This window comes from Homo sapiens, chromosome 17, assembly GCF_000001405.40.
Source record: "Homo sapiens chromosome 17, GRCh38.p14 Primary Assembly".
NCBI lineage: Eukaryota > Metazoa > Chordata > Mammalia > Primates > Hominidae > Homo > Homo sapiens.
In genome coordinates this window covers 57,971,552-57,985,886 of record NC_000017.11, presented here as the reverse complement: position 1 = coordinate 57,985,886, position 14,335 = coordinate 57,971,552, and the positions used below count along the sequence as shown (strand labels likewise).

The 14,335-nt window shown below is 39.3% G+C and overlaps 1 protein-coding gene across 7 annotated transcripts in view; it reads left to right on the top strand.

The window, feature by feature from the left end:
• Positions 1–14,335, top strand: part of VEZF1 (vascular endothelial zinc finger 1) — a 16,703-nt gene extending 2,368 nt beyond the window's left edge. For 3 of the 7 annotated variants that reach the window (NM_001330393.2, XM_017025018.2, XM_047436665.1), the window contains exons 2-7: positions 422–633; positions 2,494–3,188; positions 3,951–4,014; positions 5,101–5,284; positions 6,574–6,735; positions 10,987–14,335. In NM_001330393.2, coding sequence (NP_001317322.1) covers positions 628–633; positions 2,494–3,188; positions 3,951–4,014; positions 5,101–5,284; positions 6,574–6,735; positions 10,987–11,414 — 1,539 coding nt within the window. In that variant the 5' untranslated portion in view covers positions 422–627 and the 3' untranslated portion in view covers positions 11,415–14,335. Of the gene's footprint in view, positions 1–421; positions 634–2,493; positions 3,189–3,950; positions 4,015–5,082; positions 5,285–6,573; positions 6,736–10,986 lie in introns of all 7 variants that reach the window. The other 4 variants (XM_047436662.1, XM_047436664.1, NM_007146.3 and 1 more) reach the window with 3 other exon arrangements.

Here is a 14,335-nt window from a genome sequence, read left to right as displayed (position 1 = left end):
ATATTTTGAAACAATTTAATACCTGCTTGCTTTCCAGATAACTTGGTGGAAAGTGAAAGCTATAGCTATTAAAATGTTTGATGGATGATTCTTCTAACAGGACATTCAAGATGTGACTCACCGATGTTAATTTGTTCAGTACAAAATCTTTTACCCTCTGGCACTGGAGATTTCATGGTGCCATATCCTACTACCCTGGGTGATGAAATAACATTTCTGTTTTGTTTCTTGCCAGCCCCAGGAAAAGGAAAGCTTGGGCAGGGTTAAAAAGCCTTGCAGTTGAAAGAGATGGGATATAAAATTAAAACTTTGGTTTGATGATGCTAGTCAAATAAAAGCCTACCCAGAAGTTATATTTTTAAAATAAATCACTTAACTGAAGGCTGGCCGTGGTTGTTATTTTACTCTGTCTCTCCCCCAGAGAAGAAGTTGGGAAAACCCAGTTCCCCCTTAGAAGGCTTCTTGTAGAAGTGTGGGGATCCTAGGAATCCTCAGAGAGTGATTCCTGTAGTGGTTCTGCAGCATTTCACCCAAGAAGCAGGGACCTGGTGTGACCCTCCTGTGAGAGTGAGCTTCAGCAATGCTGTAAAAATACTTTATGTTGCCACAGACATCTGAATTGGTAAAATGGCAGTAAGTGCTTTTAGTACTCCATCGTACTAATGGTTGTTTAGAGTTGAAAAATGCCTCTAAATGCTATAAGTCTGAACTTTGTCCAGAAGATCTGCATTCCCTATTATCTGATCTGTTAGCCTTTGAAATTGTATATCTTCAGCTATCTTCAGCTATTAACTATTTGTATACTGTATGGAAACGAGTATCCTACAGCCAGGTTGGAAAAGGGGTTACAACTGGAGTCCAAATTCTGTAAAGTTTCTGCTGATGTCACCTGGGTAGATAGACCCTTACATTTACAGGAGCTTCACAAATTAGATTAAAAGCGGACTGTAATTTGCTAGGAGCAGTTAAGTCCAGAAAGAGACTCATAAGTAACCACATAATTTCTGAGAATGCTTCCAGGACTCAAAGGGTGATTACATCAAAATTATTAAATTGAAACTGAGAACTCTGGATACCACACCTCCTAATCGTTTGGGGGAGACTAGTTCCAGGCTTAACTGTTATGCTGCCATCAAGTAAACATAGAAGCAATGTGTGGTAGATGTTCTTACCCATCAGAGGAGGAGCTGTGAGTGTGTGTGTGTTTCTCTTTGTTTTTTTGTCCTTAAGTTAGCTGTGGGACTTGTGGTTATAGAGTAAGAAGGGTAAGTAACCGTCTAAAGTGTCTAAAATGATGGGATGGGCCCCTAGTAGGACATTGTATGCTTAAAATATTTGAAACTCCTCTTGAGTGCATGCATCTTATTAGGATTACAAAACTCAAGCATAGGGGCTTGGGCTCACTGTCAAGAGTTTCAAAAATAATGTTGGTAAAGAACAACGTATTAGGAAGAACTATTTCAGGAATTTTTTCCATCATTTCCTAAATGTTTATCAGTATGGAGAATTTTGAAAGTATCAGAACCAAGAGAGTAACTACTCATAAATGTCAAGAACCTGATCCATGGTGAAATTTTGGTTTCATTGCGGCTAAAAGAATTTCCAGTGTGCAGCCTCCAGTTTTGGGAGTGGAGAAGCACATCATAAGAGCAAATGTCTAATACTTTATTGAAACCTACAACTGCTGGAAGAAGATGAATATGAAAGGAATTTAAGTGTTTATAGTTTGTTTTTCTCATTAGTCTGTCTTTGAGAGTTTGGGATTTGAACAGATAGTGTTGCTGAAAGATGCAGACTTCAGTATACAATTAAATGACCTGAGAAACAACTGACAGGTGTTTGCTATGGGCTGCCTTCACAGATGCCTTCCAGGTTGCTTCATAGCAGATTTTGTTTCAACCAAACCTTTTAGTAGAGTCAAGTGAAAACTTAACGTTAACGACTAGCAAATGTATTTAGAGAACTAGATTTCTTTCATCACTTAGCAACAGCCCCTTCCTCAATCTGAGTTTTCTGATAGAAAGACATGATGCTTTTCTTCTGGATAATAGACAAATAGATGATTGTGTTATTGCATGTATGTGAGTGTGTATGTGTGTATTGCTGCAGTAAGGTACTATTAAATACTTAAATCTGGAGTGGTTTTTTTAAGTAAGTTATTTAAACTTGGTTTCAGCGCTGACAGACTAATGCAAACTGATTTCATCAGCTGGTCTGTCCCTTATGAACCAGGATAGTGTGTAGTTTAGTCAGCTGTTTAAAAGCAAGATCACTGTCAGCAACTTAGTTGCAAAAGTTTTGTGTCTGCACAGTGATTTTTCAATGCTTTGTATTGTGAGCTCTTAGAGTAACTAGGTGGTTGCTGGATTACCACTGCAGAGTAGCTTATAGGTTCTTTGACTGTTTCTTCTGGTCTCTATTGTCTGGAGCATGTTGAATTTCGAAGGCCATTGTGAGAGGCTGAGTTTCTGAAGTGTAAATGTTTGGTTTTAGGCCCATGAAGCTTCCCATCACCAACAGCAGGCAGCACAGAACAGCTTGCTGCCCCTCCTGAGCTCTGCCGTGGAGCCCCCTGATCAGAAACCATTGCTTCCAATACCAATAACTCAGAAACCTCAGGGTGCACCAGAAACATTAAAGGATGCCATTGGGATTAAAAAAGAAAAACCCAAAACTTCATTTGTGTGCACTTACTGCAGTAAAGCTTTCAGGGACAGCTATCACCTGAGGCGCCACGAATCCTGCCACACAGGGATCAAGTTGGTGTCCCGGCCAAAGAAAACCCCCACCACGGTGGTTCCCCTTATCTCTACCATCGCTGGGGACAGCAGCCGAACTTCGTTGGTCTCGACCATTGCAGGCATCTTGTCAACAGTCACTACATCTTCCTCGGGCACCAACCCCAGTAGCAGTGCCAGCACCACAGCTATGCCAGTGACCCAGTCTGTCAAGAAACCCAGTAAGCCTGTCAAGAAGAACCATGCTTGTGAGATGTGTGGGAAGGCCTTCCGAGATGTGTACCATCTCAATCGACACAAGCTCTCCCATTCAGATGAGAAACCCTTTGAGTGTCCTATTTGTAATCAGCGCTTCAAGAGGAAGGACCGGATGACTTACCATGTGAGGTCTCATGAAGGAGGCATCACCAAACCCTATACTTGCAGTGTTTGTGGGAAAGGCTTCTCAAGGTACTGCATTTTGCTTTGCTTTGCTTTGCTTCATTATGGTATCAGTGTACTTCAGTTTTGTCTCCATGTGATCTAGAATGTTTATGTGAGAACAGATGTGGGCAGACCTGTGTTATTAGAGGAGATTGGTGATAGATAAGTATTAACACCTCCAGGTCTAACCTCAGTTTGGTGTGATTGACAAGTGGTGACATAGTGATTAACCTGTTTTTTTCACTTAACAAGTGCCTCGGTGGACTCAGGCTTTCATTTGGCACATGGATACTTATCACTGCAAAACCACCAGTTTTCAGTTCAGTTGGGGGACTAGACATGAGGCTCACTGGGCAAATTAAAGTAACATTTCTTGGAAGTTGGGATGACCTTGGATACTCTTAATTAAACTTTTAGAATGTTTTTTCATTTTTCTGAGAGCACCAACATTTCACTAATTTTCATTTATAAAAGCTTTTAGAGTTAATATAGTGGTAGCTGTTTCTGGCAAGTGTTAAGACTAAAACTTCGGGTATTTTGTAATTGTAAAGAATCAAGACCTAATATGATTTGATGTTGACTAGGAGAGAAAATTAACAGGTAGAGGCCTAAGACTTTGTTCATGGTAAGAGAGGGAAGGAGACTTGCACCGGGGGAGGGAGGTTGGTAATTCTGCTAGCTTTCCCTAAAATGCACCCCTTCCCAATCTGCCAAGCATGTGAGCATCACATAAGTAGCATTTCTCTATGTGTTCGATTATATCTTCTGTTGAAACTCTCTTTTTCACAGGCCTGACCACTTAAGCTGTCATGTAAAACATGTCCATTCAACAGAAAGACCCTTCAAATGCCAAGTAAGAGTTAAAATGACTTATCCTTAGTGTAGCACTTAATGCACATTATCCAGAAGGTCTGAGCCAGTTGAATCTCACCATTCTTGAATAGTCTTAAAATCACTGACCTGAGTAAATGTGGCCCATTTGACTTCTAGTTTTATAAAATATAACTGACAGCTTCTGTTTCTGTAAAGCAAGATCATTTAAAAATTTAAGCGTGTTGTTTTTTTTAAGCTATATTTCCCTTTCTTTGGGCAATAGTATTTTTTGTTAGGAAAAAAAAGTTACAGTCTTGCAAAGGTGGTTGTGTATTTGAAATGAATAAAAGAATAAAGGGCTTTAATTTCTGGGTTGATTATTGAAGTTGTTTTAACTGTAATAGGAGAAAATAATGAATTTTTCTCCCAAATGTTACCACTTACTAGATTTTTGTTTGTTATTACCAAATTGGAACACTTTCTAGTTGTTTAAAAATCTATTCCAGTTAATGATTTTATTTGACATCAATTATAATAACGAAAACATTAAGAATTTTGCTAAATCAAATGACTGTTTTAGGCATTGGTAATTTTAGTTTGTTGCTGGAAGTCTTTTAGTACACCTTTCAGTTAAGTTTGTTAATGACTGATTTTATTAAGTAAATGATTTGAATGCTAAGAAAGATCTAATTGGAGGAAGGAAGCTAGTGTCATTGAGTGAGTGCCTGCTGTGTATACCAGGCTTTTCTTAATCCACCAGTAATTTTGTGAGAGATGTTATCCCCATTTTACAGATGAAGAAGCTTTCAGATAGGTTAACCAACTTGTTCAACATTACACCATTTAGTAAATTGTGGAGCTCAACTTAAACCCAGGTTTAACTTACCCTAAAGCTTACATTTTTTGTGCTACTCTGTGTTGATGTATTTTCTTCCTTCAAAATGGAAGAGTCTAAAATTTATCAAGAGTTTTATTATGATTATGATTCTAGGTAACATATGCAATTAAAATTCAACTAGTTGTCAGCTTGCTGATGTGGATAGGGTAATGCACAGAATATAACGTACTTCAAAATGAGTAGAACAGGATAGTCTATATTTAAAAAAAGTTTTCCTCCCTCATGCAGACGTGCACTGCTGCCTTTGCCACCAAAGACAGACTGCGGACACACATGGTGCGCCATGAAGGCAAGGTATCATGTAACATCTGTGGGAAGCTCCTGAGTGCAGCATACATCACCAGCCACTTAAAGACTCATGGGCAGAGCCAAAGTATCAACTGTAATACATGTAAACAAGGCATCAGTAAAAGTAGGTGGTGCTTCAGATTTTCTTTCTTTTATATTTCAGATGGGTGAAATATGCATGTTTTCATATTGTATCAAAGGTATTAATATTCACCTTACGTGTTTCCTCCTATTGCCAACATGTGCAAACAGGCAACAATGGACAGAGTATATTAATGTCAGAACTATGCTTTACTTTCATGTATGCAAACAGCATTGATAAGCTAATAATAACCTTTAAGGTGAAAGCAGTATTAATAAGCTTGCTTTTCAAACCCAAATCTGTAGAGAAATGAGATATCATATCCACTTGAAGGTTTAAATGCTTTGCTTGCCTTAAATTCAGAGTTGAAGATAGAATACTTGCATTTACCCAGGCTTTTTCTTTTAAGATTGCCCTAACCACTAGAAGAAGGCATTTTCCTAATCCTTTATTCTATTATATATGTACTTTATGCAGTAGAAACATCAAATTCTCAAAAAAATAGGTGGCCACAAGAGAATGGGGAAGAAAGCTTAATGTGTGTTAATCTATCCATTTTTACTTCTTTGTAAGTACACTGGGTTTGTAAGTACACTTCTTTGTAAGTACACTGGTATGTTGTACTTTATAAGCATTCACTTCTGTTTTTTTTGTTTTTTTTTTTTTTTTTTTTTGAGACGGAGTCTTCACACTGTTGCCCAGGCTGAAGTGCAATGGCACGATCTCGGCTCACTGCAACCTCCGCCTCCTGGGTTCAAGCGATTCTCCTGCCTCAGCCTCCCAAGTAACTGGGATTACAGGTGCACACTGCCATGCCCGATTACCTTTGCTACTTTTTTTGTATTTTCATAGAGACGGCGTTTCACCGTGTTGCCCAGGCTGGTCTCGAACTCCTGAGCCCAGACAGTCCACCTGCCTCGGCCTCCCAAAGTGCTAGGATTACAGGCATGAGCCACTGCACCCGGCCTATAAACATTCACTTTTAGTGTACATTATTGTGATCAAATAAAAAATTTTGTTGAATGTTGATTAGTCCTATATTAATAATATCAAACTTCCATTTTTAAAGACACTTGCTTTTTTTTTTTTTGATGGTTTTTTTTTTATAGCAAAGAGTCCTTTTCTCTTTTATATTGATTTTTGCTAGTTCTCTAGACTTTTTAGTGCTTGTTTATTTTGACCAATATAGACACAGCAGCAAAAAAGATGCACTTACTAAGAGCTATCAGGTTAAATGGTTAAGATCACAGAAGCATGAGAAGTCAATTTTGAAAAAAAACGGCAACAGTTTTACAGGTAGATACAGTGTTTTTGGTTTGTCTTTGTAATAGCATGCATGAGTGAAGAGACCAGTAACCAAAAGCAGCAGCAGCAGCAGCAGCAGCAGCAGCAGCAGCAGCAACAACAACAACAACAACATGTGACAAGCTGGCCAGGGAAGCAAGTAGAAACACTGAGACTGTGGGAAGAAGCTGTTAAAGCAAGGAAGAAAGGTAAGGCACAGCTTCCAGTGTTGAAAATATGGCTAGAGAAGTGTTTTCATTTAGTATGCCAAGTGATCAAAGTAGAGAAGCCACAGTTTTAGGAAATCTAGCTTAATGGAAACATGGAAATAGTGCATGCTGGGAAATATCTGGTAAAGTATAGTTATTGGCAATAAAGTGTCCAGATAAGTTATTACTAGGAATTAAAAGTTCTCAGTACTTCCTATCATGTTCTTTCTTTTGATGTACTTTTTGCTACAAACCTGGATCCAAATTTGGTCCTTTGCTATGCTCAGAGTTGCATTTTTATATTCAATTTGATGTCAACCTCCATGCATTATGGGCTTTTTTTTTCCTTTCTAAAATATTCCCACTTTTAGAGGTGGATATCCTTGTGTGTACATAAGTTCATTTTCTTACAACTGTGCTATTTTTGCTCTGTAGTGTTCTTTTTCATTGTATTATTTATTACATGTTTCAGATTCTGTAGTGTTGATGTCTTTTCTCTTGGTCACACCCTTAATCTCCTTCAGTCTATCACTGGCTGGCCTTAACATATCTAGTCTTCTGCTGCTGAGGACTTTACTGTAATTGTTTAAAAAATTTTAAATGGTTTGCTTTTCTCTCGTGTATATTTTCTAACGAATCAGTTGGAGTATCAGTTTTCAACGTACTTTTCAACTTACTAGTACAGCTTTGGCTTCTGGACTATTGTGCAGCCATTTCAAATGAATCATTTTGTCAATGTATCATGAGCCAAAGGACAGATTTGTAAATTCCTTCTTCCTCCTCCACCTCTACAATGTCTTACTATGTTAAATGTTAAGGAATCCTCTATCTGTGGGCTCCTCTGTATGTAATTCCTTTTCTGTGTAGTTTCTTCCATCTTTTGCTTTCATGTAGTGTGGCTCTTCCCTTCCTCAGAGTGATCCCTTCTGTTTTTTTTTTTTCTTTTTTAGACAGAGTCTCTCGCTCTGTTGCTCAGGCTTGAGTGCAGTGGCGTGATCTCGGCTCACTGCAGCCTCCGCCTCCTGGGTTCAAGTGATTCTTGTGCCTCAGCCTCCCGGGTAGCCAGGACGACAGGTGTGTGCCACCACACCCGACTAATTTTTGTATTTTTACTAGAGACAGGGTTTTGCCATGTTGGCCAGGCTAGTCTTGAACTCCTGATCTCAAGTGATCCACCCGCCTCAGACTCCTAAAGTTCTGGGATTACAGGCATGAGTCACCACACCTGGCCAGAGTGATCTCTAAACCTCCTATACTTGGATAAAAATAAAAGGAATAGCATTCTTTTTTTTTTTTTTTCTTTTTTTGAGATGGAGTTTTGCTCTTGTTGCCCAGGCTGGAGTGCAATGGCATGATCTTGTCTCACCACAACCTCCGCCTCCCAGGTTCAAGCGATTCTCCTGCCTCAGCCTCCTGAGTAGCTGGGATTACAGGCATGTGCCACCGCGCCCAGCTAATTTTGTATTTTTAGTAGAGACAGGGTTTCTCCATGTTGGTCAGGCTGGTCTCGAATTCCCGACCTCAGGTGATCTGCCCGCCTCACCCTCCCAAAGTACTGGGATTATAGGCGTGAGCTACTGGGCCCTGGCGACATTCTTTTTCATACATTTACTGGCATTGGAAGAAAAGAATGCAGCAGTCCGTATAGGCTTTTCATCATTCCTCAGGTGCTGCTTGTTCCTAGCTTCCATCTGAAGATTTGTCATTATTTTAATAAAATGTTTTGGCCAGGTGTGATGGCTCACACCTATAATTCCAGCACTTCAGGAGGCCAAGGTGGGAGGATCACTTGAGGCCAGGAGTTTGAGACCAGCCTGGGCAAGATGGCAAGACCCCATCTCTACAAAAACAACAACAACAACAAAAAATTAGCCGGACGTGACAGTGCGTGTCTGTAGTCCCCGCTACTCAGGAAGCTAAGGTGGGAGGGTCACTTGAACCCAGGAGTTTGAGGCTGCAGTGAGCTACAATTGCATCACTGCACTCCAGCCTGGACAACAGATTGAGACCCCCATCTCAAAAAAAACAAAACAAATGAACTTTTGTGTTAGAATGGGGAGAGGGGACGGGCAATGGGGAGGAAAAAGTGTAGTGCTGTGATAATTGTATAGTGGGTTGAAAGTATATTATGAAGGGTATTTTACTTAGAGAAGGAGTAAAAATGTTTAAGTCATAGTAAAAGGACACTCTTAGATTAAAAAGAAAACACGGAGGAGGAGGTAAGGGGGTCAGCAGATAAGAGAGTAAAAATTCTTTGGTGAAAGCAGGTGGAGAATATCCTCAGCAATACTCCCAGCACCTTAAAGTGAATTGGTTTTCTCTCTCAATCTCTCTCGGTGTACTCCTCTATTTGGTATTGTATTTCAATTTGCTTGCACAATAAGACTTGGTTGTTTAGCTCATCTTCTGACTTCCATGAAACAAAATGTTATTGTATTCCCATTTGTAGCGTGAATCTCTCTCAAAAAGACCACTGATCTTAGAAACCTCTGTATTCATGTTAGTAAATGTCACATTTTAGAGGAGAGGAGACTCCTGACCTGAAAATCTAAGCTTGAATCTATAACGTCCTTTAAATATTAGGCCTAAATAAGGTAACATAAGTTTTCAAACCTGATCGACAATCATATTGTCTGGGAAGCTTTTTAAAAATACACATTTCCCAAGTTCCATCTAAATTTCACTATTGATTCTCCTGGAGTCCTTTGTTTTTGTTTTGTTGGGTTTTTTTTGTTTGTTTGTTTGTTTGTTTTGAAGTCCTCTAGATAGTTGATTTTGATAATCAGCCAGATTTGGGAATCCCTGATAGGGAGAATGGTGTGTGCCAAAGTTACATTGTATTGATCAAGTAAGGGCTGCTTGACTCAAGGGTCCCCCTGCGGTGATAAGACCTTTGTGGATCATATACAGATCTCTATCTTTAGTTCAAGTATATTTCTCCATTTTGATAGCCAAGTCACAGCTAGCCTACCCATCATTTTACTGCTGTTTTCTGGTGCTGAATTTTGTTGAGGGGTGGGTTGGGGATGTCACCTTGAGGGGAAGTATTTTTTAAGAAGTGTCTAGACCTGGCTCACACCTTAATCCCAGCACTTTGGGAGGCTGAGGTGGACGGATCGCTTGAGCCTAGGAGGAGACCAGCCTGGGCAACGTGGCGAAACCCAGTCTCTACAAAAAACACAAAAATTAGCTGGGCGTGATGGCATGCACCTGTAGTCCCAGCTACTTGGTAGACTAAAGTGGGAGGATTGCTTGAGCCTTGAGGGTTTGAGGCTGCAGTAAGCTTTGATCATGCTACTGCACTCCAGCCTGAGCAACAGAAGGAGACCCTGTCTCAGAAAAAAAAGTGTCCAGGTTTTGTTGGATAAGAAGGACCAGGGTCCTCTAACTCACTGCAGGGTCTCCTTGCCTAGCTAGTTCTCTTTGGTATGCTTGGTGGTATGTGTAATATGTAGAGTTAAAGATACTAGGCATAAAATAGGTGATTGTGTCAACATCAGAAACAAGAAGAAATGGGAGTGAGGAGAACATGAACTTATTGAGGAGTATTTTTTTCTTTCCTAATGTAGTTAAGAAACATAACCAGAAAGAATAAGATTATTTAACTGAAACATATTTCTAAAACTGAAACAAACATGATACTAAAATAGCTTGTTTATCATTCCCCAATTATGCATTTTTAAAACCTTCACAGAATGTGGCTTCATGTCTCAGGCTTTAACATACTTATTGAGTATGCACACCTCTCTCTGCTAGTTACAGTGTGCCTTACGAGAAGATTTTTCTGATTATCTGTTATTGTGTAACCATTGGCCCAGCTCTGTGTAAACAAGCTCTTTAGCCTGGCCTGCTGGAGGTTGGCTCTTCCCAAGAAAGTTTTTAGAACTCAGAGGAACTGCATGAAGTAGTAGTGAGAACACTTAGCCCTGCATTGCAGAAGTTAACTGATCCTCTCAGCATCACTGTGAGGTAGGTAAGTAAATCTGAACTTGAAACCTAAAGTGCAAGGCTAAACAAGTTGCTTAAGTCCTTGCAGGAGGTATAGCATCAGAAGGTGATTCATACACTGGGATCCCTGGCCCCCAGGCTTGTGCTCAGAAAGATCCTCTGTTCTGTTGACCGCTTGATAGAAAACTGGAATTTGATTTATTAAATGTTTGACATTTTTAATGAAAAGAAATTGATTCAGAAACTTTGTGAATTTTGCTCACTGTTTTGAGAATCTAAAGACCCTTTTTCTTCTTATTTTAGAAGCTGCTAACCTGTGCCAAACCTCCACGGCTGCTACGACACCTGTGACTCTCACTACTCCATTCAGTATAACATCCTCTGTGTCGTCTGGGACTATGTCAAACCCAGTCACAGTGGCAGCTGCAATGAGCATGAGAAGTCCAGTAAATGTTTCAAGTGCAGTTAACATAACCAGCCCAATGAACATAGGGCATCCTGTAACTATAACCAGTCCATTATCCATGACCTCTCCTTTAACACTCACTACCCCAGTCAACCTCCCCACCCCCGTCACTGCCCCAGTGAATATAGCACACCCTGTCACCATCACATCTCCAATGAATCTACCCACACCTATGACATTAGCCGCCCCTCTCAATATAGCAATGAGACCTGTAGAGAGCATGCCTTTCTTGCCCCAAGCTTTGCCTACATCACCGCCTTGGTAAACAGTATTATAAAATCAAAATATGGGTAAAAGTAAATATTTACCAGCAACTTAACTTTTAGTTGATTAAAGCAAAAAGTAAACCATGAAATTGGGAGATTTTATTACATTAGTTAATAAGAGTGTGGTAGCATTTTTCTCCAATTTGGCTGGGATTATTCAAAGTAGGGTGTGTATGTAACTTATCACTGGACCACTTTAGTTTAATCAGAAATTCCTTTTAGCTGACAACATTGCTTAAACAGGATAGTAGTTGGCAAGATGAAATGCCAGAATTAAAACCAATCATAAGTAGAACCCACTTCAAAATAAAAAAACAGCATTACTATTTCTAATCCCAAGGAATCACTTTATTGTAAACACTAGCAGAACTCTTCTCCCTATACAAGGTGGATGGCTGATTTTAACCTGAAATTTTAAATCCACAGATTGAGAGCTAGTGTAGAATTGTCTGTGTTTATTGTTTTTATGAGTAAATACATGCATTGTCATAATAAAATGCATTTCAGAGAATATGCATTTTACCTTTGGGAATATGTTAATTTCAGGCAGCATTCCCTATGGGAAAGGTGATACCAGCTCTGATATGCAAAGCATATGATAATTTATCATTCTAACTTCAACGTATAATAGGGATTGTGACCTGATATTTGGAGATGTAAATATTGCTCAGCATATTAATCCCGATGGAATATAGCATTGTAGTTGACTTTTTAAAAAAAAAAAAAATTTAAAAAAAATCTACAAATTGTGTTTTGCTAAGAAAAGCCTCAACTGACAGAGGAGAAGTCAAGTGTGTGGACAGGCAAGCTCCTAATAAACAGAGTCCAGTGGGATTCCTATTTAGGAGCCAAGGAGTACTTTGGAACAGTACAAATATATTGCTTTAAATTGGAAGACGCTGGAGGCACTGGGATGTGATATGCCCCTCTCTCTCCCAATCAGAGCCTGTTGATATTACAACAGGGACAGATGTGTTAGTTGCTCACTAGAGTTTATGTCTTATATTAAATTGTATACAGTTTTTATTCTAACCACTAACTAGGTAGTGTATGCCCCTTCAGAACATGCAGAGTGTATCTTTTTTTAAATTTCTCCTTCCGTTTCTTAAGTATTGCGCAGATTTGTTCAACTTTGTAAATATGGACATCACTTTTTTTTTCTTTGAGAAAACACTTGTATCAGCTTTGTGGTGTTTTCAGGGAGACAGCTGTCTGCATTCCCTGTAGAAACCCAGCAATGATTATGCACGTTGAGACATGTGCTTTTTATTTCTTAGCAAGATATTTTATCTCTGTACATAAAGTAGAAACCAAAAGCTAGGGAAACAGATACTCTTTACACCATCATGCCACGCATTGTTTTTAAAGCATTGCGTTAAAAAAAAAATTAACTAAACCAAGATGCTGTGATTTTTTAAGTTGCAATATGTTTTTGGTTTTTTTCATTTTTTAATCATTGCAGTTAAGAGAAATGGAAATTAGTTGTGTTAATCTTGCAGAATGTTTGCAGGACTGACTATCAAACTGGATGATTTCCATTTATACCCTACTGTGTCAGTTCAAGCATCAAAATACCTTGCATCTGAGACAGACTTCCTACATCAGGGACAGGTATCTGTGTGTCATTATACAAAACAGTTCTAGGGGGTTGAACTACATAGTAAAAAAATAAAATAAATAGTACTTAGTGTAAAATAATTTTATAAATGATCTTTTGTACTTTAGGACATTAAATTGTACAACTTTTGTATATATAAAAGCTTAGGAACTTTCTGTTTAGCAGGAAGGCAACACATTCCTACACTTTTAATGTATATGTTTGTTATAATGTCCATGTAAACATGCCCTATGTTTGTGCCTTTTAATTAGTTTGTCTCAATAAACAAAATGTAGAGAAAAATATGTAGCTATGACTTTGTTACAACTGTTCTTATCCACAGTACAAAAATGGTTTGTTTTTAATATGTAGAGCATTATGTGTGGACTACTGGAAGGACTCGTGTAGGGAAAGCCCAAGAATGACCTTGCTGAGGCCTGGATTGGGAGGCACAGTGGCCACATTTGGAGGAAGTTCACATTTCCTGGCATGCAGACCCAAAACTGGGTTCTGGCTCTGCCTGCTGGGATCTGTTATCTCTGGTGGGCTGGCAGTCATAATTCACAATTCAGACAGCCCAGGCTTCCTCCACAGTGGTCCAAGGAGCAGTCCTCAGTGGGGGCAGGTGTGGGCCCTACCCCTAAGCTAGAATGTGGTTGTCAGAACCCTGAAAGTATTAGTTCTAAAAAAAAAAAGATATATACTAGAAGTAATTGTTTTATCAATTCATTGTATAATAAACAGGAGTGAGACTTCATTGTATGACTTCAGTTAAAATACTATTTTGTATGCATTCTTTATTCACTTAAGAAGCTTGTCTGCAATAATAAAGCCACGTCATGTCTTCTTTTGGGAGGGAGAGAGTCGATGGCAGGAGGGGGTTTTGGGTGGGCCACTGAAAAGGGGTACCGAATAGGTTGTGTGATGAAATTCTGTGTCTTGGAACTGGAATTGAGTTTCGATGTTGATGAACTGATTCAACCAGGTGTTGAAGGCACGACAGCCACTGCTCTACGAAAAGGCAGAGTACGTTTTTCCCTTCTGGTTGTAACCTGGTTGAGAGCTTCCCCTTTATCAGATTGGCAGCTAAACAGTTGTATTAGATAATCCTTAAATCTGACATCCAGCCTGTTACGCTCTAGGGCTCGCTGCTTGGCCTGCGTTTGCTTTTTATTGTGTATCCGTTCCCCTCCTACGGTGTGCTCCTGAATGAAGGTTTCTATGTAAGCAGATGATGATTTTACCTGTCAATACCAGCACTGTATTACTAACATGCAAAATACTGCAGATTTATTTTGAAAATTAAAGTTAACTGGTCACAAA